This window comes from Homo sapiens, chromosome 1 (genome assembly GCF_000001405.40).
Source record: "Homo sapiens chromosome 1, GRCh38.p14 Primary Assembly".
Classification (NCBI taxonomy): domain Eukaryota; kingdom Metazoa; phylum Chordata; class Mammalia; order Primates; family Hominidae; genus Homo; species Homo sapiens.
This window is the reverse complement of record NC_000001.11, coordinates 169105738-169133243: the sequence shown is the minus strand read 5'-3', so window position 1 is coordinate 169133243 and position 27506 is coordinate 169105738. Positions and strand designations below refer to the sequence as shown.

General features: G+C 43.3%; 2 protein-coding genes across 4 annotated transcripts in view, besides 12 other annotated features; one reads left to right on the top strand and one right to left on the bottom strand.

Moving 5' to 3' along the window:
- The window catches only part of NME7 (NME/NM23 family member 7), a 235267-nt gene extending 234554 nt beyond the window's left edge, over positions 1-713 (top strand). For all 3 annotated transcript variants that reach the window (NR_104229.2, NM_197972.3, NM_013330.5), the window contains one exon: positions 427-713. Coding sequence is in view for 2 of the 3 variants with exons in the window: in NM_197972.3 (NP_932076.1) it covers positions 427-459 (33 nt within the window). In the remaining variant the exon portion in view is untranslated. The remainder of the gene's footprint in view (positions 1-426) is intronic.
- ATP1B1 (ATPase Na+/K+ transporting subunit beta 1) lies at positions 525-26554 on the bottom strand. The gene is made up of 6 exons (NM_001677.4): positions 26318-26554; positions 21746-21874; positions 8205-8360; positions 5836-6020; positions 3154-3234; positions 525-1952 (listed from the first exon to the last, which is right to left on the bottom strand). Exons 1-6 carry the CDS (start codon positions 26412-26414, stop codon positions 1689-1691), a joined length of 912 nt encoding a protein of 303 aa, NP_001668.1. The 5' UTR covers positions 26415-26554; the 3' UTR covers positions 525-1688.
- Positions 16448-17067: an enhancer, noted in NCBI's record as "H3K4me1 hESC enhancer chr1:169085415-169086034 (GRCh37/hg19 assembly coordinates)". NCBI's record gives its function as "activates a minimal SCP1, AML or CMV promoter by ChIP-STARR-seq in naive H9 embryonic stem cells {active_cell/tissue: H9 hESC(naive)}" and the evidence as "EXISTENCE:reporter gene assay evidence [ECO:0000049][PMID:30033119]".
- Positions 16652-16841: an enhancer, noted in NCBI's record as "active region_2069". NCBI's record gives its function as "activates an Ori minimal core promoter by ATAC-STARR-seq in GM12878 lymphoblastoid cells {active_cell/tissue: GM12878}" and the evidence as "EXISTENCE:reporter gene assay evidence [ECO:0000049][PMID:35858748]".
- Positions 18671-19313: an enhancer, noted in NCBI's record as "H3K27ac-H3K4me1 hESC enhancer chr1:169083169-169083811 (GRCh37/hg19 assembly coordinates)". NCBI's record gives its function as "activates a minimal SCP1, AML or CMV promoter by ChIP-STARR-seq in primed H9 embryonic stem cells {active_cell/tissue: H9 hESC(primed)}" and the evidence as "EXISTENCE:reporter gene assay evidence [ECO:0000049][PMID:30033119]".
- Positions 18671-20265: a biological region, named in NCBI's record as "CDK7 strongly-dependent group 2 enhancer GRCh37_chr1:169082217-169083416".
- Positions 19066-20265: an enhancer, noted in NCBI's record as "CDK7 strongly-dependent group 2 enhancer chr1:169082217-169083416 (GRCh37/hg19 assembly coordinates)". NCBI's record gives its function as "activates an origin of replication core promoter dependent on BRD2, BRD4, P300/CBP, MED14 and CDK7 cofactors, with strong dependence on CDK7, by STARR-seq in HCT116 cells {active_cell/tissue: HCT116}" and the evidence as "EXISTENCE:reporter gene assay evidence [ECO:0000049][PMID:35650434]".
- Positions 19319-19613: an enhancer, noted in NCBI's record as "tiled region #11596; HepG2 Activating DNase matched - State 14:Gen5'". NCBI's record gives its function as "activates a minimal TATA promoter and a strong SV40 promoter by Sharpr-MPRA in HepG2 cells {active_cell/tissue: HepG2}" and the evidence as "EXISTENCE:reporter gene assay evidence [ECO:0000049][PMID:27701403]".
- Positions 19319-19613: a silencer, noted in NCBI's record as "tiled region #11596; K562 Repressive non-DNase unmatched - State 6:EnhF". NCBI's record gives its function as "weakly represses a minimal TATA promoter and a strong SV40 promoter by Sharpr-MPRA in K562 cells {active_cell/tissue: K562}" and the evidence as "EXISTENCE:reporter gene assay evidence [ECO:0000049][PMID:27701403]".
- Positions 25845-26417: an enhancer, noted in NCBI's record as "H3K27ac hESC enhancer chr1:169076065-169076637 (GRCh37/hg19 assembly coordinates)". NCBI's record gives its function as "activates a minimal SCP1, AML or CMV promoter by ChIP-STARR-seq in primed H9 embryonic stem cells {active_cell/tissue: H9 hESC(primed)}" and the evidence as "EXISTENCE:reporter gene assay evidence [ECO:0000049][PMID:30033119]".
- Positions 26418-26990: an enhancer, noted in NCBI's record as "H3K27ac hESC enhancer chr1:169075492-169076064 (GRCh37/hg19 assembly coordinates)". NCBI's record gives its function as "activates a minimal SCP1, AML or CMV promoter by ChIP-STARR-seq in primed H9 embryonic stem cells {active_cell/tissue: H9 hESC(primed)}" and the evidence as "EXISTENCE:reporter gene assay evidence [ECO:0000049][PMID:30033119]".
- Positions 26418-27506: a biological region, named in NCBI's record as "Sharpr-MPRA regulatory region 5967".
- Positions 26587-27506: a silencer, noted in NCBI's record as "silent region_1545". NCBI's record gives its function as "represses an Ori minimal core promoter by ATAC-STARR-seq in GM12878 lymphoblastoid cells {active_cell/tissue: GM12878}" and the evidence as "EXISTENCE:reporter gene assay evidence [ECO:0000049][PMID:35858748]".
- Positions 26779-27073: an enhancer, noted in NCBI's record as "tiled region #5967; K562 Activating DNase unmatched - State 1:Tss". NCBI's record gives its function as "activates a minimal TATA promoter and a strong SV40 promoter by Sharpr-MPRA in K562 cells {active_cell/tissue: K562}" and the evidence as "EXISTENCE:reporter gene assay evidence [ECO:0000049][PMID:27701403]".

The window sequence follows — 27506 nt, the reverse complement described above, 5'->3', positions numbered from 1 at the left end:
TATCTTCTTTCACACTAAGGCTAATTTTTAAATACAGCTAAATAAGGACTTAGGCCAATCCCTGAACCAAAAAGCAAGGTATGAACCTTAATTTACTGAACCACAAACCTAACCTCATTTTTTAAAAACTGAAGTGCTAACAACTTTTTTTTTTAACACATATGTCTAGTGAAGCAATAGCAGGAACCAACACTTCATGTTTTCTAAACTGAGTGAAGTAGCAGTAGCACTGCAAGATGATTTTTTTAAATGGAACTTCAAACTGGAGCTTCATCGATTCTCTGCCTCTGATTGATTGATTAACTTTTAGTGTCTTTGGGAAGGGGTATGCCAGTGTCTGAAGTCCTGACCAACCTCTTGGACTCTGTTAAGTGGAAAAGACCAAAATTTGTCTGAACTAAGAAATTATGTGTTTCTCCGTTTCAGGTTCAATACTTCTTCAAGATCTTGGATAATTAGTGGTGTGGAAAGTAAAGAAGTCACAGGTTGGGACATTTAGACAAGAGTGAATCACACACGAGGAATGTGTTCATTCTTTTATTGTCCGTTGTTTTAACCTGACTGAATACAAGATCAACAAGAGCACTGTACTCCTGGCAATTATTACATATGTTAGAACATGGATTTTGCACTGTAGACAACATTTAACACCAGTCTATGGGGTACTGCATTGCTTTTTATAAAGTTCAAAATAAAGATTTATTTTCAAACAAGTGACTTTGGTTTATTTCATACATTACACTTTTTCTTGCAGAAAAAAATAAAATTGTACAACTGCATAAATATAAAATTCTTCCACCATGAAAATGGTTAAAACATTCATAAAGACACAGCACCAGCATGTGATGCCTCCAGAAAGGAAAAAAGGAAAGTAAAAGAAAATGTATAAAGCAAATTAATTAGCCCTGTCACTAGCCAAAGTGATGGGCAGATCCAGATCTCAGACACAGCTTTAGAACATACCGGAGGACAAGGCAAGAGATGTCAAGACAGCATTCAATACAAGCATAACACAACCCATCACCTTTTTGTGTTTTTCTGTAGTGTCACTTAAAATTTAAAGGGCAGTTCCCCCATGACAAACCCCCACCCCAGCCCCCAGGAAAAAAATAAAAATAAAGACCTAACACCACAGGAAAAGACTATGGAGTATGTTAAAAATGCTCATCGATGGGCCATTACCTTTGAAAGAGCCAAAAAACAAAAAAAAAAAAAAAAAAAAAATTACCATGCCAGTTTTATTCCCGTTGAATATTTACACCTTGGACAGCAAACCTTGCTCACATAAAGTAGAAAACAGATACAATAAAACATGGCTTGAAAAATGACCAGAGTATGCACCTGTAGTACTGTACACTAAATAAAATACACAAGGCAGCAATACTTAGGGGCCAGAAACACTGCTTACTACAAGTCAGTTACGGAATCATAATTTACAGTAAAAATGGGCACGTCCCAAGGCTCAATTTTTCTTTTTCTTTTGTCATTTACAGTAGAATAAATATTTTGTTGCTATTGCTACACTTTAATTTACATTCTAACCTATTAAATGCAGAAAGCTAGTGTAAAGCATATAGATTAAGTGTAGGTCCCATACGTATGACAGTTTGTTCAAGACTAGTAGGTTTTTGTTTTTGTATCTTTTTTTAACTTATTAAATGGCTAGTGGGAAAGATTTGTGCTTGTGATCAGCTCTTAACTTCAATTTTTACATCAAAACGTCCCTGAAAACGGTCTTTCTCACTGTACCCAATGTTCTCACCGTACGCCTTACACTCTATGCGAATTTCAGTGTCCATGGTAAGATTGGTGAACTGTACGGCCAGCAGGGGCTGCAGGTATTTGGGCTGCAGGAGTTTGCCATAGTACGGATAATACTGCAGAGGAAAACCAGGGGAGTTGCCCAGTCCAAAATACTCCACATTTCCAACTTTATCCTTATCTTCATCTCGCTGAAATCCAGAATGAAATGAAATTTTAATGGCTCACATCATGCATCACTATGTGTACTCAAAAACAAGACTCAATCTACACAGTAGTTTGCAAACTACTGAGAGAGGAAAGAACATCTACTCAGTCTATTCCATTGCAGCCTTGAGAAATGGTCATAAGAAGAGACTATTCTCAATGTGCAAATGGATGGGGAAGCTGAGTCAAATGCCAAATAAGCATTCTTCAAGCCTCCTAGAAACAAGGCCAACATTGAAAGGCAGAAACACCTTGCTGTTGGCCCAGTAAATAATCTGTCTAGTGATATTATCTCCAAAGTTTACTACTTGCCTCTCATTTTCTTGTTGAGAAATCAATCTCCACTTCCTTGCTTGGTGCTAGCACTGTCTGGGAACTCCCTTTCTTTGTTCTGCCTTTCTCTCTAAACGGTCCATTAGTTTTTGGATCCAAAGGAAACATGCACTAATTGTTACCTTAGTCTTTCAATTTTTTTTTTTTTTTTTTTTTTTTTTTTGAGATAGTCTTGCTCTGTCCCCAGGCTGGAGTGCAATGGCGTGATCTCAGCTCACTGCAACCTCCGCCTCCCAGGTCCAAGCGATTCTCCTGCCTCAGGTCCTCAGCTGGGATTACAGGCACGCGCCGCCACGCCCAGCTAATTTTTGTATGTGTAGTAGAGACAGGGTTTCACCATGTTGGCCAGGCTGGTCTCAAACTCTTGACCTCATTATCTGCCCATCTCGGCCTCCCAAAGTGCTAGGATTACAGGCGTGAGCCACTGCACCAGGCGATATTTCAATATTTTTAAAAGAGAAGCCCAAACCACTAATTTTTATGTGACATTAATTTTTTTTTAATGTTGGCCCCAAATTTTTAATACATGCTGTGGGCCAGAAAGTACTTCTGTGGGCTAATTCACCTCTCAGTTCTGATAAGCAAATATCCCAATGTATTAAATTCAGATATTTGAGTTTCTTATGCCAGTGGAGAAACTGACATCAGTCTTATTCTGATTACATCTTTCTGTTCTTTTAAAAAGTTTTACCTAGTATAGCTACAATTCATCTCACTGAGACTTATACTTGAAAGCAATGTTTCTTATTTCTTCTATTAAAATTCTACCTGTCACTTAAACAGTCTTCTTCATTCTCCCCTCTTCCTCTGCCTACCCTTCCACCACCCCAGTAACCCTAAATTTGTCTTTACCTTGCCAGTGCACTGAACGGGAAGGACATTTGGGTTATACTTCATCACTGGGTAAGTCTCCAAGGACTCATTCTTGGGAGGCTAAAAATAAAACCCATTATGATCAGTAGATTGTAAATGATTTCTTAAGTTTCTGAAAAATAAAACTACTCCGTAGTCCAAACAAGTACACACTGGTCACAGTAAGTCAACCAAAATAACAAAAGACATCAGGACAGCAGAATGAATGACTCCCCTAACCAATTTAAGGTCATGTTTGTGATTTTGCTGAAATGAAAATAAGTGCCCAAGTTTATAACGACTACAATTAAGCTGTGATGCAAACCAGTACTAAATGGAACTTTTAATAGTAGCCCATTATAAGCTTTGCTTAAAGACACTGAAAACTAAGTCAACCCAAAATATAATGCTCGTTATTTGCTAAGATTAGATTACATGAGAAAGATGATTGACATTTCTGTTTTTATAAAGCGTGGGCTTTCCTCCTGAGTCATGAATAAATAATGTCATCCTTTTCCCTCAAGCATGACTTCAAGTAGGCTTTCCTTTTTTGTTGTTTTAATCTCCAGTCGGGGAGACTGCCATTTAAGGAGCGTTTCTTTGCAATTTTCTTAGGAAAGTCCAATATGTAAAAAAGGCAGAGGTGTCACTGCCCTAAGAGGAAGGGTGGTCTTGAAGGGGTGAATCCACTGAAGGGACCCAGAGGACAGTCTGAAAATTACTGCTGTCATGAAATATCCAGAGCCTCCTCTTCTACACCCATGGCTCAAATCTATCTCAGAAGTGTGATGAACATACTTCGCTGGAAGACAGTCACTTGCTTACTCAGATCAGCACAGCAAGTGAGTCTTGATGTGAGATGTAACACATACATAGTCTAATCAAAGTCAGATAAAATATTAGTTCCACATCAGGAAGGAACTACTATTTTGCTACTACTCTGTTTTGGATGCAAGAAAATGATCGTCTAGATTTGACTCTTTGGGACGTTTCTGCCAGCAATGTATTTGTCTTTAAAAATATGTAGAGAAAATGCTCACTAAGAAGTTGCCAGAATCTATCCTCCAATGGTGAGGATAGTGAGATGCTGGGATACTCTGATCTCTGACAAAAATAACTCCAAAATAGTTGGAGATTTGGGTGGAGGTGATGAATTAGGCAGTGGCAATGGATAACCAAGTAGAGACCAAAGAAAAAAGAAAAAAAGGACTGAAAAGAAAGAGTAGCTGAATTTATCACTGAACCAAGTAACTCTAAAGATGTGGGAAGAAATCAATCACAATAGACTAGACTGCCTCTGTGGGGTCCAAATGTCATTCAGTGTCTACGATGAGTAATGTCAAAAGCAAGGTACTCAGAAAGTATGGGATGAGTCTTCTCTTGGCCATGCCACAACAATTTCTTTTGCTGCTAAATAGCTGATTGATCTCAGTGAAGTATTCCCCAGCAATATGAATATCAAATACATTTTGGCATAATGGTTCTCACCGTTTTTCTTCCATTATATCCTGTCTATGTGGAAAGAAGCTTAAAATCCTTTTGAGAGGTACATTAATTTCTGCCAGCAGTCCATCAAACTAGCCAGCCAGGCAACCATCCATCCCCACCTACTCATTTTTGCCTCTGATGGCAATAAAGGAACTTTGATGCATCCTTCAGTTAACAAAACTTTTTATCTCTGTGTTGATTTTCTTTTGAAAATATTATTCATGGGTAACAAGCATTGTAGAAATAAATTAATAGCATTCAATAGAAAATTAATGAACAAAAGTGCCAGATTTCAGAAATGAAATGAGTTTGTTCACATAACTCAATATACTGCAGTCAATTTCTATCAAAATTAGAAACAACACTCATAATGCCAACGCTCATATACGGGTGATTAGGGGGAAACCTGCCAGAAGAAGCCAGGCTTAAGGGGAAAGGACAGCATTAATTCATGATCTGGAGGAGAGGATGAAATGACCAGCTTTACAAAAGCAGACAACAACGATAAATTTTCCATTCTTATGGAGAATATAATCTCACCAAATGGTGAGCAATGGCAATTTGCTCATTTTTCAGTGATCCAGAGTAATGTTTATCCATTATAAGTTGCAGTAATACAAAAAGCCAACAGCATGGCTAGCAAAATTCAGCCTAGATGATGTTAAACTTCTACTTCCGCAATAAAATTCAGAAAAAATATTTTTTCAGATTATCAATTTTTTTGAAATGTTCCTGTGGCTTCCAGAGGACCAAAACTGGACTATACATGCAAGTGGGTTAAAATTTTTTTTTTAATCCATTCTTTATGAAGTAAAAAATAAAAAACTTTTTTTTTTCTCTAACCACTAGACCACCAGGGAAAAAATATATTTTTCCATTTTTACTTTTTTAAAGAGTTTATGTTATAGAAACTGTTATCTGGATACTGAGCAGGAGTATTAAGAAAAGGGCCACAGACTCACTTCAGAATGCAGCTTTGCCTCTCAGAATTCCTTTAACTTTAGAAAATGAGATTAATGTCCTAACTACAAGAATTGCAGGGTGGATACAGAAGTTTTTGGTGTTACTCTACTGGCTACGTTTCAAAGTCAGCACTGAGTATACTTTAAAACTATCTTACATTGTCTTCTCAGATCAATTAAGTACTTAGTGTAAATGACTCATCTAAATTCTATCATTTAAAATATTACTTGCCTTAGGTTTGAAGCCTAGAACTCGGTTGAGCTTTATAATAATGCACGGTTTGCCCTCTTTGTAGCCATAAGTTTCATCATTTAATCCAGAGCAATTTCCCAGCCATTCAAGCTTGAATCTGCAGACCTTTCGCTCTCCTCGTTCATGATTAAAGTCTCCTCGTTCTTTCGGTTCACTGGGCACATCTAAAAATAAAAACACAACTTTTATATTGTACCAGCAATTCCCTTAGCAGTTCTAAGAAAAAGAAACTGTCTTCCTTGTCATAGTTACCTATTCTGAGAGTACGCTATTCTGCATTTAATGCATGATCTGAATTAAGCAAGATCTCCAGGAAAACCATCTCTCACCTCTTCACTCATATTAAAAGATATTTTACCAAAAGGAATAGCTGGTATATGGCCCCACACCAAAGCTTCATAGTACTTGATCAGCACGTAATATTTAGTCTCTGGCAATATTTCCCTTCTTTTAAATAATGGATTACTCAGCTATTTAGAAGACTGAAAGGAGACGGATCACACTGCGTGAGTAGCATCATTCACACTGTCAACACTGGCTTAGCTCAGTAACAGGGATATTATAATCAGAATACAAAAGGACTGTCAATAATTTTCAGAACTAGGTTTTTTTTTTGGTCAGAATTTTTAAAAAGGAACTGGTATTTTCCTTTTCAACCACCACTTAAGGGTTTTTTTGAGACAGGGTCTCACTCCGTGGCCTAGGTTGGAGTGCGGCAGCATGATCATGGCCCACTGCAGCCTCAACCTCCTGGGCTCTAAAGATCCTCCCACCTCAGCATCCTGAGTAGCTGGGACTACAGGCGTGTGCCACCCTGTGGCTAGTTTTTTTTAATTTTGCAGAGACTGGGGTCTTGCTGTGTTGCCCAGGCTTTTTTGATTTGAGTTTCTGCCTTTTAAAGCTATGCATTAAGCATTTGCTGGACTGAGAAATTTTATTCTGGCATTTTTAATTCAATCCTCATATAAAAGCCAGAAAAAGACCAAGTGAATATAGAATTCAAAGTTAATGTATAGCATGCTGGAGGAAAATAATGCAAACCATAATTTATGTATAGTTTTTAAATTCACAAATGAACTATTTTCCCTTCAAATAGCGAAGAGTCTGAATTTAGACTATCTCCTTGAAGTGATTCACCCTGATTATCCCTCAGGCCTTTTAATTACTGCAAAGTAAGATGAAAACCTCATTTAAATTCTAATGAGAAAAATTCACACTGAAAATGTTCTTTTAAGTTACTAAATATTTCCAAAATAACTTAAAATGGCAATTCGCCCCATACTCTGACCAAGCCACAGCCTGCCTTATAAAGAACTGGAGTTGGTAAATGCTTGAATTGAATCAGAAGGGATGATATTACCTAGTAAAACTCAGAGAGATGTTTTATGTTTGTTTGTTTGTTTTAACGTTTTTGAGACAGGGTCTCACACTGGTGCCCAGGCTGGAGTGCTGTGGCGTGATCATGGCTTATTGCAGCCTCGACCTCCCAGGCTCAAGTGATCCTCCCACTTCAGCCTCCCAAGTAGCTGGGACCACGGGCACACAACACCACACCCAGCTAACTTGTCTTATTTTTTGTAGAGATGGGGTCTCACTGTGTTGCCCAGGTTGGTCTCGAACTCCTAGGCTCAAGCAATCCTCCCTCCTCAGCCTCCCAAAGTGCAAGGATTACAGGCATGAGCCACTGCACCCAGCGAGAGTATTTTTTTGTGGAAAGAATGAGAACATGGACTGGAAAATTCACAGTCCAGGTAGTAAGAGTGAGGACATGTATTCATGTCAATGACTTAATGAAACTAAGAGCCTCTCTTTACCCTTCATAAGTCATTTCCTTATCCAAAACGATCAGCTGCCTAACACATATTTCATTATCTATCCCAACCAGGATCAATAAAAGTATACCCTGACCATACATCCTCCTTCATGAATGCCAGTGCAGTGATAGCTAATCACACCAAAAGGTCTTTCTGATGAGAGAAGGCCCTGTGCACTCTTCTATAGGGAGAACTTTTTGGGGGAAGATAAGGAAATAAGTAGCTGTACTTTTCAACGGATGTAAGAGAAAGAAAACCGGAATTGCTGTCTTGGCTCTGAATAGTAAAAAATAGTACCTAGGAGTGTTTTAAAGTAAGACACCTTTCCAATGCAGAAAACAGTCATACTTGAGGCTGTACTGTTTTTCATTGTGTCTTCCTGCTTTTTTTAAAAAAAGTGTCTAAATATGGCCAGAGTTCAATCTTTCATTATTTCAGGATTATCTCTCGATCATTAAACAAAAAATAGAAGTGGGAAATAAGAGTTAAAGAGAAAGAAAACTAGCCACAGACATCTACAATGAGTCTACTTACCGCCACAATCTTCAAAAATCATGTCATCCCTCTGGGCTGAATCTTTGTACTTTTCCAGGAACCTAACTATGTTCAGTACATATGCCTCATAGCTCTTGGGATCATTAGGACGAAAGGAAATTTCAGTCTTCTGGATCTGAGGAATCTGTGTTAATCCTAGACCAGGCAGAGAGAAAAACATTAGTAGGAAGGCAGAAACGAAGACAATTCAAAAGTAGACTTTCCACATACAAAACATACTTTGCTAACTCCACTTGGCTAAAAAGAAAGGGTCTTGCCTCCCTTGTTAAATCACTCCTCTGGCATTTAGATTAGGTAACCCCAAGTACCAGTGACTATGCTTTAATATCACAGATCAGTTAATTTCCATAGCAACACTTCATGGTAGGCATCACCTCCATTTTATGAATGACAACACTGCTTGCACTGAAAGATTAACTACCTGGGCCAAGGCTGCACAGAAAGTGGTAGAACCAGAATTCCAACCCAGGTGTGCTGTACTCCAAAGCCCATTATGTTTCTAGTACCCCAACGTGCACAGTTTTTTAAAATACCCTGCTAGCTAGCATTGTGTGCAGGTGGCTTTACCCTCCCTAATTACGTGTAAGCCTTGGACACAGAGGTCTTCTTTTATAATCCTTATTGTCAGTAAATGTATAACCATTCCAAATTCTCTAGACTCAAGCCTACCTAACCAAGATATTTCTTTGGATCTTTTAAACTAAACGGGAAGAATTTGGGACATACATGCAGTAACCACAAATGCTTTCCAATCTGAAAGTCTCAGCATGTCAGTGCCGGTCAGATAAAATTCAAAGTCCGTATGCCTTGGGTTTGCACTCTCTAAAACTCTGTTACATTCTTTAATATCCAAAAGCCGCTGCCTTCATGAGACTTCCTAGATGGGTATGTGAACCACACTACACAGCACTACTCAGGAGCAATGGTTGGAAAAGTCCATCACAACTGCATTTTATTGTAGGACTGCCAAATAAAAGATGCCTGGTTACATTTGAATTTTAGATAAGCAAAGAACATTTTTTTAAAAAAATATAAGTATGTCCCAAATGCTATGTGGGACACACTTACATTTAAAAATTATTGTTTATCTGAGGCCGGGCATGGTGGCTCACGCCTATAATCCCAACACTTTGGGAGGCCAAGATGGGTGGATCACCTGAGATCCAGAGTTTGAGACCAGCCTGGCCAACATGGTGAAACTCCGTCTCTACTAAAAATACAAAAATTAGCCAGGCATGGTGACACACACCTGTAATTCCAGCTACTCAGGAGGCTGAGGCAGGAGAATCACTTGAACCCGGGAGGCGGAGGTTGCAGTGAGCCAAGATCGTGCCACTGCACTCCAGTCTGGGTGACAGAGACTCTATCTCAAAAAAAAAAACCTATATATATAGATAGATAGATAGAGATATATATAAATATATATATATATAGAGAGAGAGATATAGTTTAACTGAAATTCAAACTTAAGTGGGCACCCTGTATTTTTATTTATTAAATCTGGCAACTTGATTCTACTCCTCACTCCCAGATCTCCCCTCTCTGTGTGGGGCCCATAAGGAGGCACATCATCACTATCCTTGATAAGTGACTCTACCCTGGCTTCCCACCCCCACCTCCCAGCAGGTCAGGAAAGCACCTATGTCACTATCATTTAGGGGCTTGTCAAACATGCAGTCTCAGAGACTCCCCTCCAGACCTGCAAAATCGTAATCTCTAAGAAAGAGATTTGAGAATCTGTTTAATAAGTACGAAAAGATCTTTAAACACCCTTGGCTTACAACTGCTTCTCTAGGGAATTATAATCTGAGAGTGGCAACAGTGACTCAGATATGAAGACAACGACGTTAACGAATGTGGAAGTGATAACTAGAGTGCAGCACCATTTGTAGGGCTTGAGAAGCAGGCATCAGTAAGGCTCGACTAAATGCTATTCTTTCTAGTGATTGAGGATGCTTTAAAAGTGGTTACATAATGAGGTGGGCTCAGGGGGTTGTATAGATATGCTTTTTCACACATGTAGTTCCCTAGAGGAATGGAAGGGATAGAGAGGAAGACAAGTAATCACTGGAGCAAGGCACAGGGGTGCCCAGGGCAAAGGACTTAAGGACATTAACAATCATCTTCAGGCCAGGTGCAGTGGCTCATGCCTGTAATCACAGCACTTTGGGAGGCCAAGATGGAAGGATCGCTTGAGCCCAGGAGTTCAAGACCAGCCCAGGCAACCTAGCAAGACTCTATCGCAATTAAAAAAAAAAAAAAAAAAAAAAAATCATCCTGAAAAGGATGATGTAGAACCTGAAGAATTATGGGGGACAAAAATTTCAACAGTGATAGAAATGAATCAAAGGGGAAGTAGCAGAATTTGCTCATAAAAATCTTCAGTTTAAAATAAACACAGATTACAGTTTAAAATTTTGTAAAAATGCCTACAAGCCATAATTTTTTAGTATTTCTAAAGCAATTTAAATATACCCTGAACAATCTTTTTCTATGTTAAAATTGGCATTGTGATCATTTATGGTGCAAAACAGCAGTATTGTAAAGAGAAGAGATACCTGCAAAAATAAAGGTGAGCAGAAGCTTCCACAGATAGTTAATGCTTGAGACAGCAATGGTAAACAGAGTTACCCAGTGAAATGGGGAAGTCGGGTAGGGAGGGTCACTCCTGGTTTAAGTTGTAAATAAGACACTTAAGTCAAGGTGACTTGCCTGGACCTGGGGGAAGTACACCAGCAGACCCAAAGCCAGAGGCTCAACAAAATTCAGAATGGGAGAATCCTGGAGTCAAGAGAGAATGGAGCCTTGAGGGACGGTCATGCTGAGGGGCCACCCGAAGAGCCAGTGCATAGGCAGCCAGAGAGAGAGACAAATGCCTGTGCATCGCTCAGGCAGGAGGTCTGCAGGAACCTCCTCCAAGTATTCTGTGTGATGTTTGGGAGTCAGGAACAGAAATGGACTTATGTACACAAGGTTAAACAGTGTTTCCAGGCTTGGGAAAGACAAGGCAGGAGGGTGGTGGATGGCTAGACAAGTGAAGGAGAGCAAATGTCAGAAACCAAGGAGGGATCTCATCTGACCTTCAGGGAAGGTCAGGGGAAGACCCACAGCCAGGGGACCATAGGGACATTGGTGTGATAAACAACAATTATGCAAGCTGTGGTCCATCAGCAGAGGGCGGGATGCAGCAAAAGCCAAAATATAAACAAGCCTGATACTGAGATTTGGAGAGTCTCACCTAACAAGCTGAAAGGAGGAGTGACCCTAGAAGGTCATGTTGAGAGTAAACATGGTAAAACCTGGATTGCGAAGCAAGTGTCACAAACATCCTTGTTCTCCCTGGCCTGGCTTCAGTGAGCCTCTCCAGTGGTTTGCCTCTCACTTTCTGGCTGCTTGCATTCTCTCTTCCAGTGGCTGCTCAAGGTTCCATTACTTTGATATGAGTATGAGGAATAGTGATGCCATTTCTCAGATTCTCCCACACAAAAAAAAGGAGAGTAAGAACAGGAGGAGGTATTATGCTGAGCGCTTTTCATTCCTTCACAATGTCAAGTCCACGGTTTCCACTATTAAAAGTGACCAGGGGACATGTGTCAGACTCAAAACATCAGCAACTCTCACTCAGTCCTCTGGGCTCTTTACTAACAAAATGATAAGGCTAGTGCATTCCCCAGGAGCCTAGGGGCTATGACCAAAACTAAGTTCATGTTTACTGATAGACTATGACAAATCTTTCTTGTAAGTGCCTCTGTTGTTAATCATCTAGGAATATGGCCGGGAATGGTGGCTAATGCCTGTAATCCCAGAACTTTGGGAGGATGAGTTGGGTGGATCACTTGAGGCCAGGAGTTCGAGACCAGCCTGGCCAACATGGTGAAACCCCATCTCTACTAAAAACACAAAATTAGCCAGGCATAGTAGCACATGCCTGTAATCCCAGCTACTTGGGAGGCTGAGGCACGAGAATCGCTTGAGCCCAAGAGGCAGAGGTTGCAGTGAGCTGAGACAGCACCACTGCACTCCAGCCTGGGCAACAGAGCGAGACTCTGTCTCAAAAAAAAAAAAAAAGAAAAGAAAAGAAAAAGAGAAAGAAAAAAAATATCTAAGATCACATTTGTGAAAATAATAGGTATTACTGTTACATGAAGTGGTACTACTGGCCCAGAAGAGAGTTATATACACAATTGGCCTCATGTCTCTCTAGACGGGGCAAATAAGAAATAATGAAAACCAAGTAATGGAATCACATCCCTTTCAACCTGAAAGCCCAAATTTTTCAGTAAGCATAGCTCATGATCTAAGCCAGTCAAGTTTATAATTACTTTGTGAGGGAAACATAGATGCAGGCTGCTTGAAGAATCTTGACTTTGCTCTTACAGAAGCATCAGAAACTAGTGAAACCAAGAAAGCAAGGGGTGAAACATAAGACAGCTAAGCACGGAGTCTTAGAACCCTGTGACTTGCCCAGCTGGATTAGACCCTAGGCCAAAGCCTCTGCCCTGTCCTTTCCATTTTAAGTAACAGAGAACCTTGGTAGAAGGAGCCGAGGAATGACAGATAAACCCCAGAAAGCTCAGTCATGTCTTACTGTTTTGTGAGCTCATGTTTCCCTCTGGAGTCTGAGGGGTCTTAGACGGTGGTAACTAACATAAGCCTTAATGACCATTCATTTAAGATACAGAGCTTTTGATCCAAACGTCATTTCCAGTAAAAAAACAGATGGTCTGGGTTTAGGTCATGCAATCAGCTCACACATGCTTACTACATAAACAAATGTCCAGGAGGCCACGCCACAGTCAAGTGGCCGCTGCCTCCTTAGTAGCTCTTCTGCTCTCTTTCCTCACATTTCCACAAGGTCTCTCACTCCATCACCCACTATCTCTGCCTCCTCTCTTTTCTTTATCCGAAGCCTGATGGCCTGAGAACTTCTCCTGGAAATTACCACAGATCAGCCCCCGGGTCTGTTCTGTTCTGGATAGTCTTAATTAGGACAGTTTTTGATGAGGTCTTCTCCAAAGATTAGAAAAATTCCTCTTCTCAAGTTATTTCTCTAAAGCAACTAGATACTCACAAGAGAAAGATGAAAGACCTTTGAAAGGATGTCCAAATCCTTTAAATCATTTACTTTAGGATTATCAGACTGTTAAGAAGAGATAGAAAGCAATGGGATTGGATTTGGTAATTATTACAGACAGTTCCCAACTTACAATGTTTGCCTTATGATTTTTCAGCTTCACAGTGGGTTTAGCAGGGTTAGTAAATGCATTTTTGACTCACAGTATTTTCGACTTACAATGGGTTACTAGAACATAACCCCATCCTAAATCGAAGAGCATCTGCATTTTGAGGCCACACCCAAATTCTCCAACCATGACATTCTCCAAGGGCTGCACAAATCCCACCTTGCTGACTGGAGTTCTCATGAGTCATATTTCACACTAGACCAGACGCTTTCTCCCATCATGCCCCTCTTTCTACTGCCCACTTCTTAAAGTTGTTAGTTATGACTCTGGACAAGGATGAGCTCTGTTTGCACTGGTAACTCCCAGAGGGCCAAAGACAGCAGAACACCCAATCGCTGGCACGCAATTTCAAGTTATATTCCAGGAAACAAATCTAACCTTTTCCCTCTCCAGTCTTCTAAACTTGAATTTACATTAACCACCCTGAGCTCTAGAGACAGCTTTGTTCTGATAGGATCATTTGCCTTAAGCTATATATCATTAATTAACAAAGCCACTTGAAGAGGCAGAAATCATAATCTGGGTATGTAAAATTTTAATATTTGGTTTTCAATGAGTATTTCAACTTTACATAAGATTTAGATTTAGAAAAAACTTCTGGCTTCCCACTTGCTTTTCAAAGACACATTTACCTGCCTTTGGTCCCCATCTCTTGAGAAATAAGGAAGATCCTCCATGTTTAGCTTTAGTAAGTGTTGATAGCACAAGGGGGAAAAGGCTTGAGGGAAAGGATTTTGTTTCTTTAGGTTTATAATGTAGCAAGTTCATCATTTCTCAATCTACATGTGAGTTTAAAGTATTTAAACTAGAATGTAGCCATTTCAACCTTGTAAGTTATTCAAATGCACAGCTGCTTGCACCTGTCATTTAATACATCTGATAAATCACTAGATCAAATCTCTAAATAGGAATCATTTCCCATGGAAACCTCCAGGAAGGTACCCATATGACTGAGAAGGGCACAGGAAGCAAAGAAATGCTTTTAAATGTAGCCATGCACAAATCATGTGTCTCCTATACATTCCGAGTTGAAAAGTAATTTCCAATTTTAAAAAAAATACACAGAGGTATGAATTCATACATACTCACACGTATATGTACACATAAACACACACATATGTATGCATACGCACATATATGAGATAGAAATTTCTCCTTTAAGTGCCACTCTGTAGGACCTAAGATATTTCTGGATTTTGTTTGTTTATTTTTGTTTTACATCTGTGAGTTGGTATCAACTTACCTAGCAAAGTAAGGGGAGAGGCACAGAAAAAAGGCGCCTTTGCACTTTCTGGAAACTAGCCACCTTTGACTCACCTTCTGCCTCCAGCTCCCAGACTCAGGCTCTGAGATTAGCAAGGAATAAATCTCCCTGCCTGCAGGCAGGGTCACATTCACACCCTCCGACACTCAGAATCTGCTCCCTTTACAAAGTCTTAGAAAACTGAATCCCCGGACTGTCTCTACAGCCAATCTGGATGTTTACCAACACTCAGGGTAAAGAAATCATTCCTCCTGTCTAAGCTAAATGCCGTGAACTCTGATTTAGGCTCTTCTCTGATCCGTCCTCTTCTTCCTGTGGCTGTATATTCACTTTCAGGCAAGCAGGGAGTTATTTAGTTCAGTTGACCTATCTTTAAAAATGCATATTCCATAGGGGCAAATCCTTGGTATTTTGTATAGCTCATAATTGTGCTTATTCTCAATACAATAAAGGAAAGGTGCCACTTTTATAAAAGAATAACATAAACAAATAGATAAATCCTAGTATTTTACATTAATTATGCTCAAGGCCAAACTGAAGAGCAAGTACATATAGTATATTTGACTTATCTAGATATAAAACATAACATTTGTTAAGTAATATCCTGAAACAAGACACTGCATTCTACATGACATTTGATAAGATCTACTCATGCATGTATGTGGGAAAAAGCTGGATGATACATCCCTGTTCCCTTCATCTCCCCAGCTTCTCACTAGTCTTGACTGCATCCGACAGACCAGCTGGTCATCAGATTACTAGCATGAGAGCACTGACCAACAGTTAAGAGCAACCAGTCCAATAACCCCATCAGATTTTATGGTAGAAGTGGACCTGTCAGGCTACTGCTCTTTCCACCCCACTTTCTATGACCCTTGGGTGAATGCAGCAAAAAATCCTTAAATGAAGCTTCACAAATCCAGCTTTTTTTTTTCCCCCACCATCACTCCCACAGATTTGTTACCTGGTCCTTCCTACTTATCAGGTCTCTGTTCTGCTTATTCATCATACAATGGGCATACAATGTAAGATCTGTTTTTCTGTGGCTCCAAGAACATTTTAAAGTAAATCATTAGGTTTCCTGTGTACCCAAGAGATGACTTACTAGTTGTACCCTTGTCTTTAGAAATAAAGAAATCACCACCTGGGTAGTTGAGTTGTTGAAGCCAAACAGAGTTCCCCCCACAAACCCTTTACCAAGTCATAAGGCTGTGCAGTAGCTTTTGGAAATCTAATTGCCACCAATGCTAACTCATCCACAAATTCTGGGACCAGGTAGACAGGATCCATTTGAGGGTGGGAAGGGAGGAGGAGAGGGAAAGTGAGAGACAGCTGGGTGTATACAGATACATCGCGTCAGCTGAGAGATTACAAAGCAGTGTATTCTAACTGGAAACACCTTACTGGCACTTTGCACTAACAACCCCTCCAAAGTATAAGGAAGCCAAATGTTTCTAATTTCCCCTTATTTCTCCTTTGAAGTGTGAGTGAGAGATAGTAATACAAGTATGAGGTAGTTTGCGGGGGGTGGAAAAATTAGGTATTCTGAGACTGACATAATGACTTCTCAGGAATTTTACTTAATCAAGCTGAGATAGAATGATAATGACTCGAACCCTAATGGGTTTTTTGTTTGTTTTGTTTTTGGTTTTTTTTTTTTTAGATGGAGTCTTGCTCTAGTTGCCCAGGCTGGAGTGCAGTGGCACGATCTTGGCTCACTGCAACGTCTGCCTTCCGGGTTCAAGTGATTCTCCTGCCTCAGCCTCCCAAGTAACTGGGATTAGAGGTGCCTGCCATCACGCCTAGCTAAGTTTTGTATTTTTAGTAGAGATGGGGTTTCACCATGTTGGCCAGGCTGGTCTCAAAATCCTGACCTCGGGTGATCTGCCTGCCTCGGCCTCCCAAAGTGCTGGGAATACAGGTATGAGCCACTGCGCCAGGCCCCTAATGAGTTTTAAGATTAGATATTTCCTCTTTACAATCAAGATGAAACTGAAACTGCTGGTGGTGCCAGTGTGGTCAGCTGGTCTGCATCCACCCCACTTCTCCTGCCCGATTCTGATTACCAACAAGCCAAGAATATGACCCTTTGAAAATGTGTCTGCTAGCACTGAGCCGTCTATACTTCAGAGCTAAACAAACAGCCACCCACAACCTTAAAAGAGAGAACAGCAGCATACATTCATACCTGCCTACCAGGAAGCAAGCCAGCTGGGAATCTCCCGGACCCACCGATTGACACACAGTGACCTTCATTTCACTCCACTGTTGCTAAGTGAGCCTGAGGTGGGGGAAGGGCAATGGCGGATGTGAAGAAGAGACTTTTCCATTACACCACTGGGCAGGCAGCAAGGCAAGCAGGGTCAAATCAGGGCCAGGGCTTGGTAGCCTGAGTGTGTGTGTATATCCATGAGCATGCGTGTGTGTGCACGCTTGCATGTCCGTGGGCATGCACGTGGGTGTGCGTGCCTGTGCCTGCTCAGCCCTCTCCAGCATAGCTAATTGCTGCGTCTCTCCCCAGATCCAACTGCATCAACAGATGAGAAGCGATGCTGCAGAGCAGCACTGCAGGACTGCCTAAGGGGGTCTCCTCTGGAGAAAAGCTTGGCAGGCGCTAACCCAACAAGCATGGGTTTGTTAAAGGGAGAGACTGCACAACAAATACAATGCCATTTAAATTCACTTTAAAATTTTTAAAAACATGTTTCCCAAATGTCTCTTAAACATTTCCATGGAAAGCTAAGGTTTTATTGACTCCATGAAAATCTAAGTGTGCAAAGCATCCCTGTCATATCTGGAAATTTAGTGTCCAAAAAGAAGAAACTGCTGCTTCTAGTAGAAAGATAGGGCTATAAAAACCCTGGACCAGGTGCGGTGGCTCACGCCTGTAATCCCAGCACTTTGGGAGGCTGAGGCGGGTGGATCACCAGAGGTCAGGAGTTTGACACCAACCTGACCAATATGGTGAAACCCCATCTCTACTAAAAATACAAAAATTAGCTGGGCATGGTGGCGCGCACCTGTAGCCCCAGCTACTCGGGAGGCTGAGGCAGGAGAATCGCTTGAACCCAGGGGGCAGAGGTTGCAGTGAGCCAAGATCATGCCACTGCACTCCAGCCTGGGCGACAGAAGAAGACTCCCTCTTGAAAAAAAAAAAAAAGAAAAAAAGAAAAAAACAGAAGTTGCTCTCAACAGTTACCCTACACTTAATACCATTGGTTTTGCCACCATAAAGTACTATTTGCTTTATATATGTTTATCATCTCATTTAGTTCTCACAGAGCATATGATTCCCCACCCCCCTTTTTTTTCTTTTTTTTTTTTTTGAGATGGAGTCTTCGCTCTGTCACCCAGGCTGGAGTGCAATGGCACAATTTCGGCTCACTGCAAGCTCCGCCTCCCGGGTTCACGCCATTCTCCTGCCTCAGCCTTCCGAGTAGCTGGGACTACAGGTGCCCGCCACTACGACAGGCTAATTTTTTGTATTTTTTAGTAGAGACGGAGTTTCACTGTGTTAGCCAGAATGGTCTCGATCTCCTGACCTCATGATCCGCCTGCCTCGGAAGTGCTGGGATTACAGACGTGAGTCACCACTCCTGGCCCCACCCCTTTTTTTTTAACAGGAGACTTAAAAAAATTTTTTGTGTGTGTGTGGATATGGGGTCTTGCTATGTTGCCCAGGCTGGTCTTGAACCCCTGCCTTCAAAGGATCCTCCTGCCTCAGTCTCTCAAAGTGCTGGGATTACAGGCATGAGCTACCACACCGGCTGCAACACGACTTTGTAAGGAATATCATGTGCATTAAACGGCCACCATTGTTCAGGGCCAAGAAGCTGTACACATTCACCATTTTTTCTTACATTTCACTTCCATTCTGTAGTTTAGTCTCTCCTCTCAGATTTCATGTTTGGCCTCTCAGTTTATCCAATATTATCGCCATACAGGCCCAAATACACTCACTGCACAATTGCCACTGCTTGATATGGCCACATTCACACGTTATTGAGAAGAGATCCAACTACAAGGTATTCCGGTGTACAAAGGGCAGTCAATACCCAGTCAGGCTGGATTTGCATTCATGCCTCAAATTCAGCTGATAATATTATTAGTAAGTCTTTATATCTTTAAATCATATGCAAACTTTCACACCCACTAGGTGTATCTAACTCAAATTTACAATTTTCCCTCTTTAACTAAACATGAAAATGGAGGCTTTAAAGATACTAATGTGAAGCCAAAAAATTGTCAGGGTATTCTTAAACACACTGTTTGTCTGCATACTTAAGGAGTTATTTCCTATGCAAAATACAAACTTCTAACACGTACTCTGAAAAATGCCAAGGAGGGTCCTTGGCATTGAAAAATGCCAAGGAGGGTCCTCAGGCAACACAGGGCCATAAGGGGTGGCCCAAGAGCTGCACTTTGTGGCAGCCGGCACTCTGCTGGCCTGGCCTGATCAAGGTTCGGCACTCTGCTGGCCTGGCCTGATCAAGGTTACTGTCATTTTCATATGAATGTCATGTCCCTTGGTAAAGGCCCCCGAAAAACCCCACAGGGTAAGGCAGGTGAAGAGGAGGGGCCTGGCCTAGACTCTCCTGAAAGGTGATGGGGGAAGGGATGAGGAAAAGAAGAGACAGAAATTACCAGGCCAAAGAACAAGGAAGATGGAGGACTGAGGACTTTTCCTGTGACTCAGACCACAGGACAGGAATGCATTTTTCCAAGATGAGCCACCAGCATTCCTTTGGAGAAGTCAGGGTTTGTCAGGTCAGTCCAACTGCTGTGAGCACACTAAATATAGGTACTAAGAACATGTCTTTTAGGAAGGGGATGGAAGGAAGGGAAGGGAGGCACCGTGAGAGGGTGTTGGAAAGGACTGAGCACTTCAGCCAGTTGATTTACAGGCAAGGTCATTTCCAAGTCCTTACTTACAAGGTTGGGCCCTTTGGCTATTTCTTTTCCAAAGTTAAATTTTCCTTTCTGCAAAGGGCACAAAGAGAATTTTTAGTTTCATTAAAGGCTGACTCCTCAAAGTTTATATAGTCAAGGACCATTTTTTTTTTTAATCTAGGAAATTTCCTGAAGAAAATATTTGACTTTGTAGTCGTATTTGGCTTTGAGTATAAGAATTATAAAACAGCAGCAGGCCAGGCATGGTAGCTCATGCTCACACCTCCCAGCACTTTGGGAGGCCGAAGTGGGTGGATCACCTGAGGCCAGGAGTTCGAGACCAGCCTGGCCAACATGGTGAAACCTTGTCTCTACTAAAAATACAAAAATTAGCCAGGCATGGTGGTGCATGCCTATAATCCCAGCTATTTGGGAGGCTGAGACAGGAGAATCGCTTGAACCTGAGAGGCGGAGACTGCAGTGAGCTGAGATTGCGCCACTGCACTCCAGCCTAGGTGACAGAGCAAAACTCTGTCTCAAAAAAAAAAAAGAATTATAAAATCACATCATGATGGAAGAATAACTTTTAAATGGCATAACAAAGAACAAAAACAAAATATCCGCACCAATTAAAATTACAACTAATGGTACCACAAAGTTCTAGCAGAAGAGGACATGAAAAGACACAATGCTTCCCTATCACCATACCCAACGTAAAACATGTTTCAGCTTCTCTGCATACTCCAGAATTCTTGCTTCAACCTTTCCACAGACCCACCTCTTGTGGAAAACAGTTGCTGGAAACTGGATTATTAAGCAGGTTTAAGTTATGTTATTTACTTACGTGATTTTTTTTTTCCACTTCCCCAATCCCTCAGCTCTAAATTTATCTGGAAATATTTTGAGTTTTTCTTACAGTGGAGAACTATTTGACTTAGGGCTACACAACAATGCTTGCCACCTCCGTATTTTGAAGATCTTCCTCTGTGAATCCTTCCCACATTCAAGGAGGTACGCAGGAAAAGCCTGTGGCAGGCAGTAGCCCTTGATCTAGGCTGCTCAGGGCCACGTAGATCATCTGAAGATTGTCACCTAAATACAGCTGTTACTAAACCTTTGCCAAGGGAAAGCAGAGAAGGGACAAGTCATTGCCATCCCTCAGCAGCAGCTTCAAGGTCATTCGTAAGTGAGAGCCCGGAAGTTATGCAACACTTTCTCTCTAGGTCCTCCAGACAATGATTTTTACAACAGCCAGATGGTAAATTCACGTTTGTGGCTATTCCACTGCCTTGTCCTATCAGCATCAGGCATGATGGCCATGGGCCTTTCACGACTGGTGTGGACACACATAGCTCTACACTGATGGCACCCAAGTCACAGCAGGGACTCGTGTGGCAGTTTGCATTTCTTATGATAATCTTTTTGTTCACCCAAGTTTTTAAGAGCTAAAAGAGACAGTTAATTAAACTACAAAGTGGGACCAGAAAGCTGGCAAATGAGATGCTTATTAAATCAATGGGTATAAATATTGAGAAGTAAGAGTGACTTTGTTCAAGCTCAAACTGCAAATTAACAGCAGGTGGGACAATAGACCCCTAAAGTCATGGCTCCTCTCCCTGTGAGTAGCTGCCCATTCCACAGCTTCTTATCATCTCTAAAAATAAGTTCACCTTTTAAAACAGGAGCCCAAGTGACTTTTTTAAAAGAATTTACCTGAGTCATAGCCCCCCTCAAGAAGTAAAAAAATGTCTGTTAGAGTTGAAAAGGTCTGGAAAGGATCCCACTAACCAAACCCTAGAATATGAAAAATGAGAAGACAGAGGCCCCCATCAGAACTCAATCTGTTCACAGTCACATAGCTGGTGGGTAGCAGGCTGGCCAAGAACCAGGACGCTTCACCCTCACTCTAGAACTGGGCAAATAAGATGTCTGCAACCCGTGGGAGCTCTGCCTGCAATGCGGGTAGGACATCTGGCTGCAGCCGAGAGAAGTTTCTCTTTTCCCTTTTCATGGTTGCTTTAAGACTACATTATAGAGTAATTTTCCAAAGAATTTTTTCTCAATAGAAAAAGTGACACCCATGCTATCTCTGAAGGAAATGAAGCTATTCATGTGGATTTTACCTGGCGGGGCCACTCGGTCCTGATATGTGGGCTTAAATTCACTGATGGTGAGCAGCATCACTTGGATGGTTCCGATGAAGATGCCAGCCAGGCAGCCATAAAATATTACGTAGAATAGAAGGATCTTAACTGCAAGAAGAACAGAAACAAAAAGCTGTGATGCAGTCATATGCTCAGAATGAAAGTTTAATCTTCCCACGGATGAACAAGCTTCCTTCCTGGTTCCCCCGGTCCCATGATTTCTTCCTTGTCCAACGTCAAGAGTGCACCTCACCCCACTGACACAGGGTGAAAATCGAGAAGCTGGGCAGCCCTCCACTTGCAGTGTGTATGGGAGGTGGTTAAGGGTAGGAGGAATGTTCAGCTAGAACTAGGATCCTTATATTTTTTTATTCCCTAAATTTTAAAAAAAGTATCCATATTTTTTATTCTCAAAATTATAAAAAAAATCATGAAGATCACCAATAAAATCTAGAGCTATGTTTGGATGCTTATGCAATGAATTTAAAATATGACAGTATACTCCCTTAGAGACCTATGTTTTCTTTGCTTGCATATCCCTTGACATTTAAATACTACAATCCAAGCTCTGCTGTTTCTCCAAATGCTCAGATGCCTGAGGGTTATTTTGCTATGGCAGAGCAATGAATCCTGAGAAACCCAGTGATGATATCCTCCTGTTTTTTTTACTATCACTCTCCCTTTGGTTTGTATTATCAACAAAGCACACTCTTTCCCCTCGGAGGACAAGACAAGGGGAAAAAAAGAAAATTCTATAGTGAAAATGACCAGCACATTTTAATTCCATCTTCTGGAACTGGAACAAGAATAATGACTGACTTGCTGGGCTGCATTTTCTTTTTCCCATAGTTAACAAGACAACAGGATGGAGGCTGAAATAGCTGCAAAAGCAAAAAAAAAAAAAAAAAAAGACTCAACACATAGATGGGAATGAGGGTGGCTATCAGTTACTGGTTTACAAGGATTATCTCCCTGATTAGCTGCATAGTAACAGGCTGTACTAGGCATTGCCTGGCAGTCCTGTGCCAGCCAAACGACTCAATGTGAATGCAAAACAGGGAACAAGTGAACTGTAAGGTTATCGAGTCAGAAGCACGACTGCACAAAGGAGCCTTAGGTTACTGCTAAAAAGGTCCAGATCTCATGCATTAAAAATGCCAGGGTACTTGGAGAAAAGCCACTGAAAAACAGTATTATTGAAAAGAAGTATATGTGGTAGGAGGGGGCCAGGGAGGGAGTGGGTACACAACTGCAGGAATTAGCCTTGTTGCCCTGTCCATACATTTAAAAGCCCAACTTTCCTATCAGGCACTAAACAGTTAAAGGAAATCAGGCTACAGAGCTGTTAAAACAAGCAAAACACACAAAACCACAGCAAAATGCTTAATCATAATCCTTTTTCTCCTCTATCAAAAGCAAATAACAAGGAAAAAAGCAAAGACAGAAGTAAAGATAAGGAAGAAAGAAAAGGTTGTGTAATCCAGAACTACAGCACCCAACTCAATCACTCCCTCCCCGCAGGACAAGGGTTAAGTGCTGCATTCTGTATCCAAGCAGCAGTAGGCAAATGGCAACGCTGTGACGTCAAGAGATCTGGAAAATTTTTCCAGTGAATGCTCCTAAGAGGTGCAAGAGTTGGTGTAACAGTCAGCAAGGCAGCTATCGTAGCCCTGATTCAAGTTTCCTCTTGCTGCCCCCCACCCCCACCTCATCTTGGTGCTCTTACCTTACCTACATGTGCCCCTTCGAACAACTGAAACATCTCTATACTCATTCCCTGGACTCCAGATGCCTAATTCTAACAACATAAGAGGGTACATAATTGAGGCTACAGTTTAAAATACAAATAAGAGCAACGGAAAAACAAGTCATTTTGCAAGTACGCCGATTAAGCTCAGAAACAGACAGCCTTTCTATTCTGCCCACACGATATCCTAAGAAAAGTGAGGAATTTTCCCTTTTTGCTCTGAGATGTTAGTTGATAAAATCTCCCTAGTTACTGCCGTGAGGTCACTGGGAGAGAGTGGAGCACTCAGGACTAGAGGGGCCTATGCAGTGGCTCACTCAGACACAGGCCACCAGGGGCTCCCCACTAGCCAAAAAAAAGGCTAGATAAGTCACACCAACTATCTGGGGTGGCACTGTGAGGGGAGCTGAGAGGCTTCAGAGGCATCTCCCTTTCACGCAATTTTTCTTCTTTTAAAAAAAAGTAATACAGAGGTTTTTTTGGAAAAACAAACAAATGAACAAACAAACAGTGTGTACCCTTCAAAAGGTCACAGGCAGGCATCCAGGCCTAGCTGTAAATATAAAACCTACCAATGTCTGTATTAACCTAATAAAAAGGCAGAAGGCACAAAGTGATTTGCATGCTGTGATTTCTCCAGCAGGTGACAGGCGAGTCTCCTGCGTCCATCTTGGTGAAAATCTACCTATAAGCAAAATCGAGCCAAGGGCATCCTGCCCTCGCCCCAAGGGCATCCATGTTGGGCCCAGTGCTGGAAAAGGGGCATTTTCTCCGTAGGAGACGGTAATTGCTGCCGCCTTTTCTACCTAAGAGAGGCTCTGACAGTTTTTACACTGCCAGAAAGGGGCAGACATATTAGCACAAAACAAAAAGGGGATTTTTAGCCCAGCACCTGTACCGTGGAACATGGAAGGGAAGAGGAGGCAAGTACAGCAGTCCTGGGTCTACATTCACAAATCAGCATACTGATAGCTTGCTGGATAGGATATCAAGACATAAAAATTGACACACACGGTCTCTCTTTCTCTCTCTCATGGAGGTGCTGCCCATTAAATGTCGGCTTAAAAATGAGTCAGTCCATACTGCCTTACCCTCTAAAGCAAGTATTATTCTGAGAAGCATGAAACTGGAATGAGCAAAGATGCATATTATACTAAGGGGAAAAAGACAAGAAGGCAAATTTCACAATGTGCCTAGAGTCAATGCAGCCCCTGCCCCTGTGACGCAGCAGGGTCAGACCACCAGAGAAGGAAGCCCCAGCTAACCTGGGGAGAAGGGTGCCCATACCGCAGTGCACCTTCCAGGCCTCCCTCAAGTTACAAGGAGTTGCCAGGGAGCTGTTCATTCTACACACACCCCACAGTTCTTCAGGTTTTCCTTTCCACAGTAAAACACAGGAAACTACCTTTATGCCTGAGACACTATGACAATAATCTCAATGAAGAAGTCTCCCCAAAATAAAATATAAAACAAAAGCTAAAAGCCATTAAAGAACTACATTTTCCATGGCTCAGGGATACCTATGCTTCCCAGTAACACCTTGGAAAGACGCTTCACCTTGACTAACCTTGAAGTGTGATGCATTATTAACCCTTTAATTTTCAATCAAGAGAGACTCACAGGCTGCATTTTTTTTTCTTTACAAAAATTCATATATTCCAGCTTCTTCCATTTCAAAATGTCAGCTAAGCACTATTTCCCTGACTCATTCTCCTGCCGATTCCCACAGATCCTCCCAAGCAGGAACACCAATCGGCCTCTGTTCAGGACTCCCTGAATGACTGCAGTGGTGGTGCCAGTGGTGTTGGTGGTGATGGTCATGATGATGATGATGATGATGATGATGTTGGAGGAGGAGGGGGCAGTGATGCAGCAGGGGGAGTTCCCTCCCTCCTTCCCTCACGCAGTCACGACTCATAGATTCGCCTACAACTCTGCCCTTCAAAATGACCTTTTTTTTAAAAAAAAAAAAGTCACCTTTCCGGAGAGGCTGAAAACAAGAAATCTAATTTTCGATGGAAAAAAGTCTATCCAACCAAGCAACAGGCTGCACAAAATATTTTAAGATCAGCTGCTCTGCGTTTATATTCCCTTCACCATAATCAACCCAACCTACTGACTGATCCACAACTGTCTGTGTAGACCTTGAAAACAACCAGACTTTGCCAGGTTTCGGGCCAAAGCTAAGAATCGGAGTCCTGAAATGGAGCTTATTGAACCATTTCTGGGTGGTGATGACTCCAGGGGAGGTCATGGAGGGAAATCCTTAGCCATCGCTGTGAAATACTACAGTGTGGATGGATTCCTCTCCACCCTTCTCTTTCCTCTCTTTTGAGATACGTATTTAGACTAGAAGAAAGATGCTGTAACACACAACCTCGTCTGCATTAGATCCCATCACCTCACGAGGTTCTCTCAAGACCCCAGATCTCATTTTTTTTTTAAGGACTCAGGACACGGGAGAGACAAATGTAGTCTCGCAGAGCCTGACTATTCCCAGGAGTAAAAGGCTCAACCGATGCACGGTAGGAAAGACTGCAAATTACCAAGCCAAGATCGCTACGATATGCATAACCTTCCGCCTGTCGTGTTCCAGCCCCGACCCTGCGCCCCACTCTGGGGACACCGCATTCCGCACAGGACTGCAAGCCCAGGCCGGCGCGACCCAGCAGCGTCCACCACCCTCGCCCCCGCCACCCCGGCCAGCGCGGTGGGTGCGGAACCGGCCGCGGACCCTGCGCAGGGGATGCGCCGCCCGGGAAAGATCAGACGCGGCGGCCGGGAGCTGCGGACCCCGTACTTACACCAACTGCCACCGGTCCTGCCCAGAAACTCCTTCTTCTCTGAGTTCCAGATGAATTTCTTCCAGCTGCCCTCCTCCTTGGCTTTCCCGCGGGCCATGGCGATGGCGGGTCAGCAGCTGCCGCGGTCCGGAGGGTGGGTGGCTGCGGCGCGCGCCCTGGCGTCCTCTGCGCCGCTCGGCTTCTCCGGCCTGGCTCTCTGCAGGCAGGACGCGCCGCTGCCGCTGCGGCTCTCGGAGTGCGAGACGCGCGGCGGAGGAGCCAAGGCAGGAGCAGGAGGAGGGGGAGGCGGCGGCGGCGGCGGCGGCGGGGCGGGGGCGGAGGGAGGGACGGCGCAGGCTGCGCGGCTCCGAGCCCCGCACCTATTGGTGGGCGCGCAGCCGCTCGCGGGCTTTCTTTGGTCCGCCGAGCGCTCCTCTAGCCCTTGGGGGGTCGGGGGCTCCGCGAACCCGTAGCTGCCGCTCCCGCTGCCACTGGGGACGTGTGCTGGGCCCCCGCCTCCCCTGACCTCTGCAGAGACAGGCCCGGGGTAGGAGAGTCAGAGAGGGAAGGACGGACAAGCGGACTGCGGGGCGCCACCGGCACTCCCGCCAGGAGCCGAGGAATTGGCTGCGCCCGCCCTACCTTTACTATATACCGCGCCCCGGCGGCCGTGCGCCCCGCCCTCTAGCGGCCCGGTGGCCAATCGCCGGCGCCAGGGGCAGGGACTCGGCCCGAGAGGGCGGGTTCGGGGCCGGCACAAAGGAGCCGCCGGGGCTAGAGGGGCCGCTTGGATCGCTGGGCGCGGGGCGTTGGGCGCGGGGCGAGGAGGAGGCGGGGGCGGCGGTGAGGGACGCGCAGGCAGCGCCGCGCAGCCCCCTCCCAGCTCCCGGCTGGGCGTGAACCGCCCCTTCCGTGGCTGGGGGATCCGCACCTGGGTCGCCCGGAGCCTCGAGGACCCCAGCCCGGCAGTCCTGGCCCAGCCTCCACGCCTCTGCCTGCCCGCCCGCGCTTTCGGCCTCCCTGGGCTGTGGGTCCACCCCTCCTGGGCGCTGGCGGGGTGGGGGAAGGTCACTCCGGGACGCCGGACTGGCGAGGACTCTGCCCAGCTCCGCCCCGCCTCCCGCTCCTGCACCTGCCGCCCCCTCGCACTCCCCGCCACTGCGGTTGCAGTTCCGGCCCTTCCCTCTTCTTTGCAGGCCAGCCCAGCCGG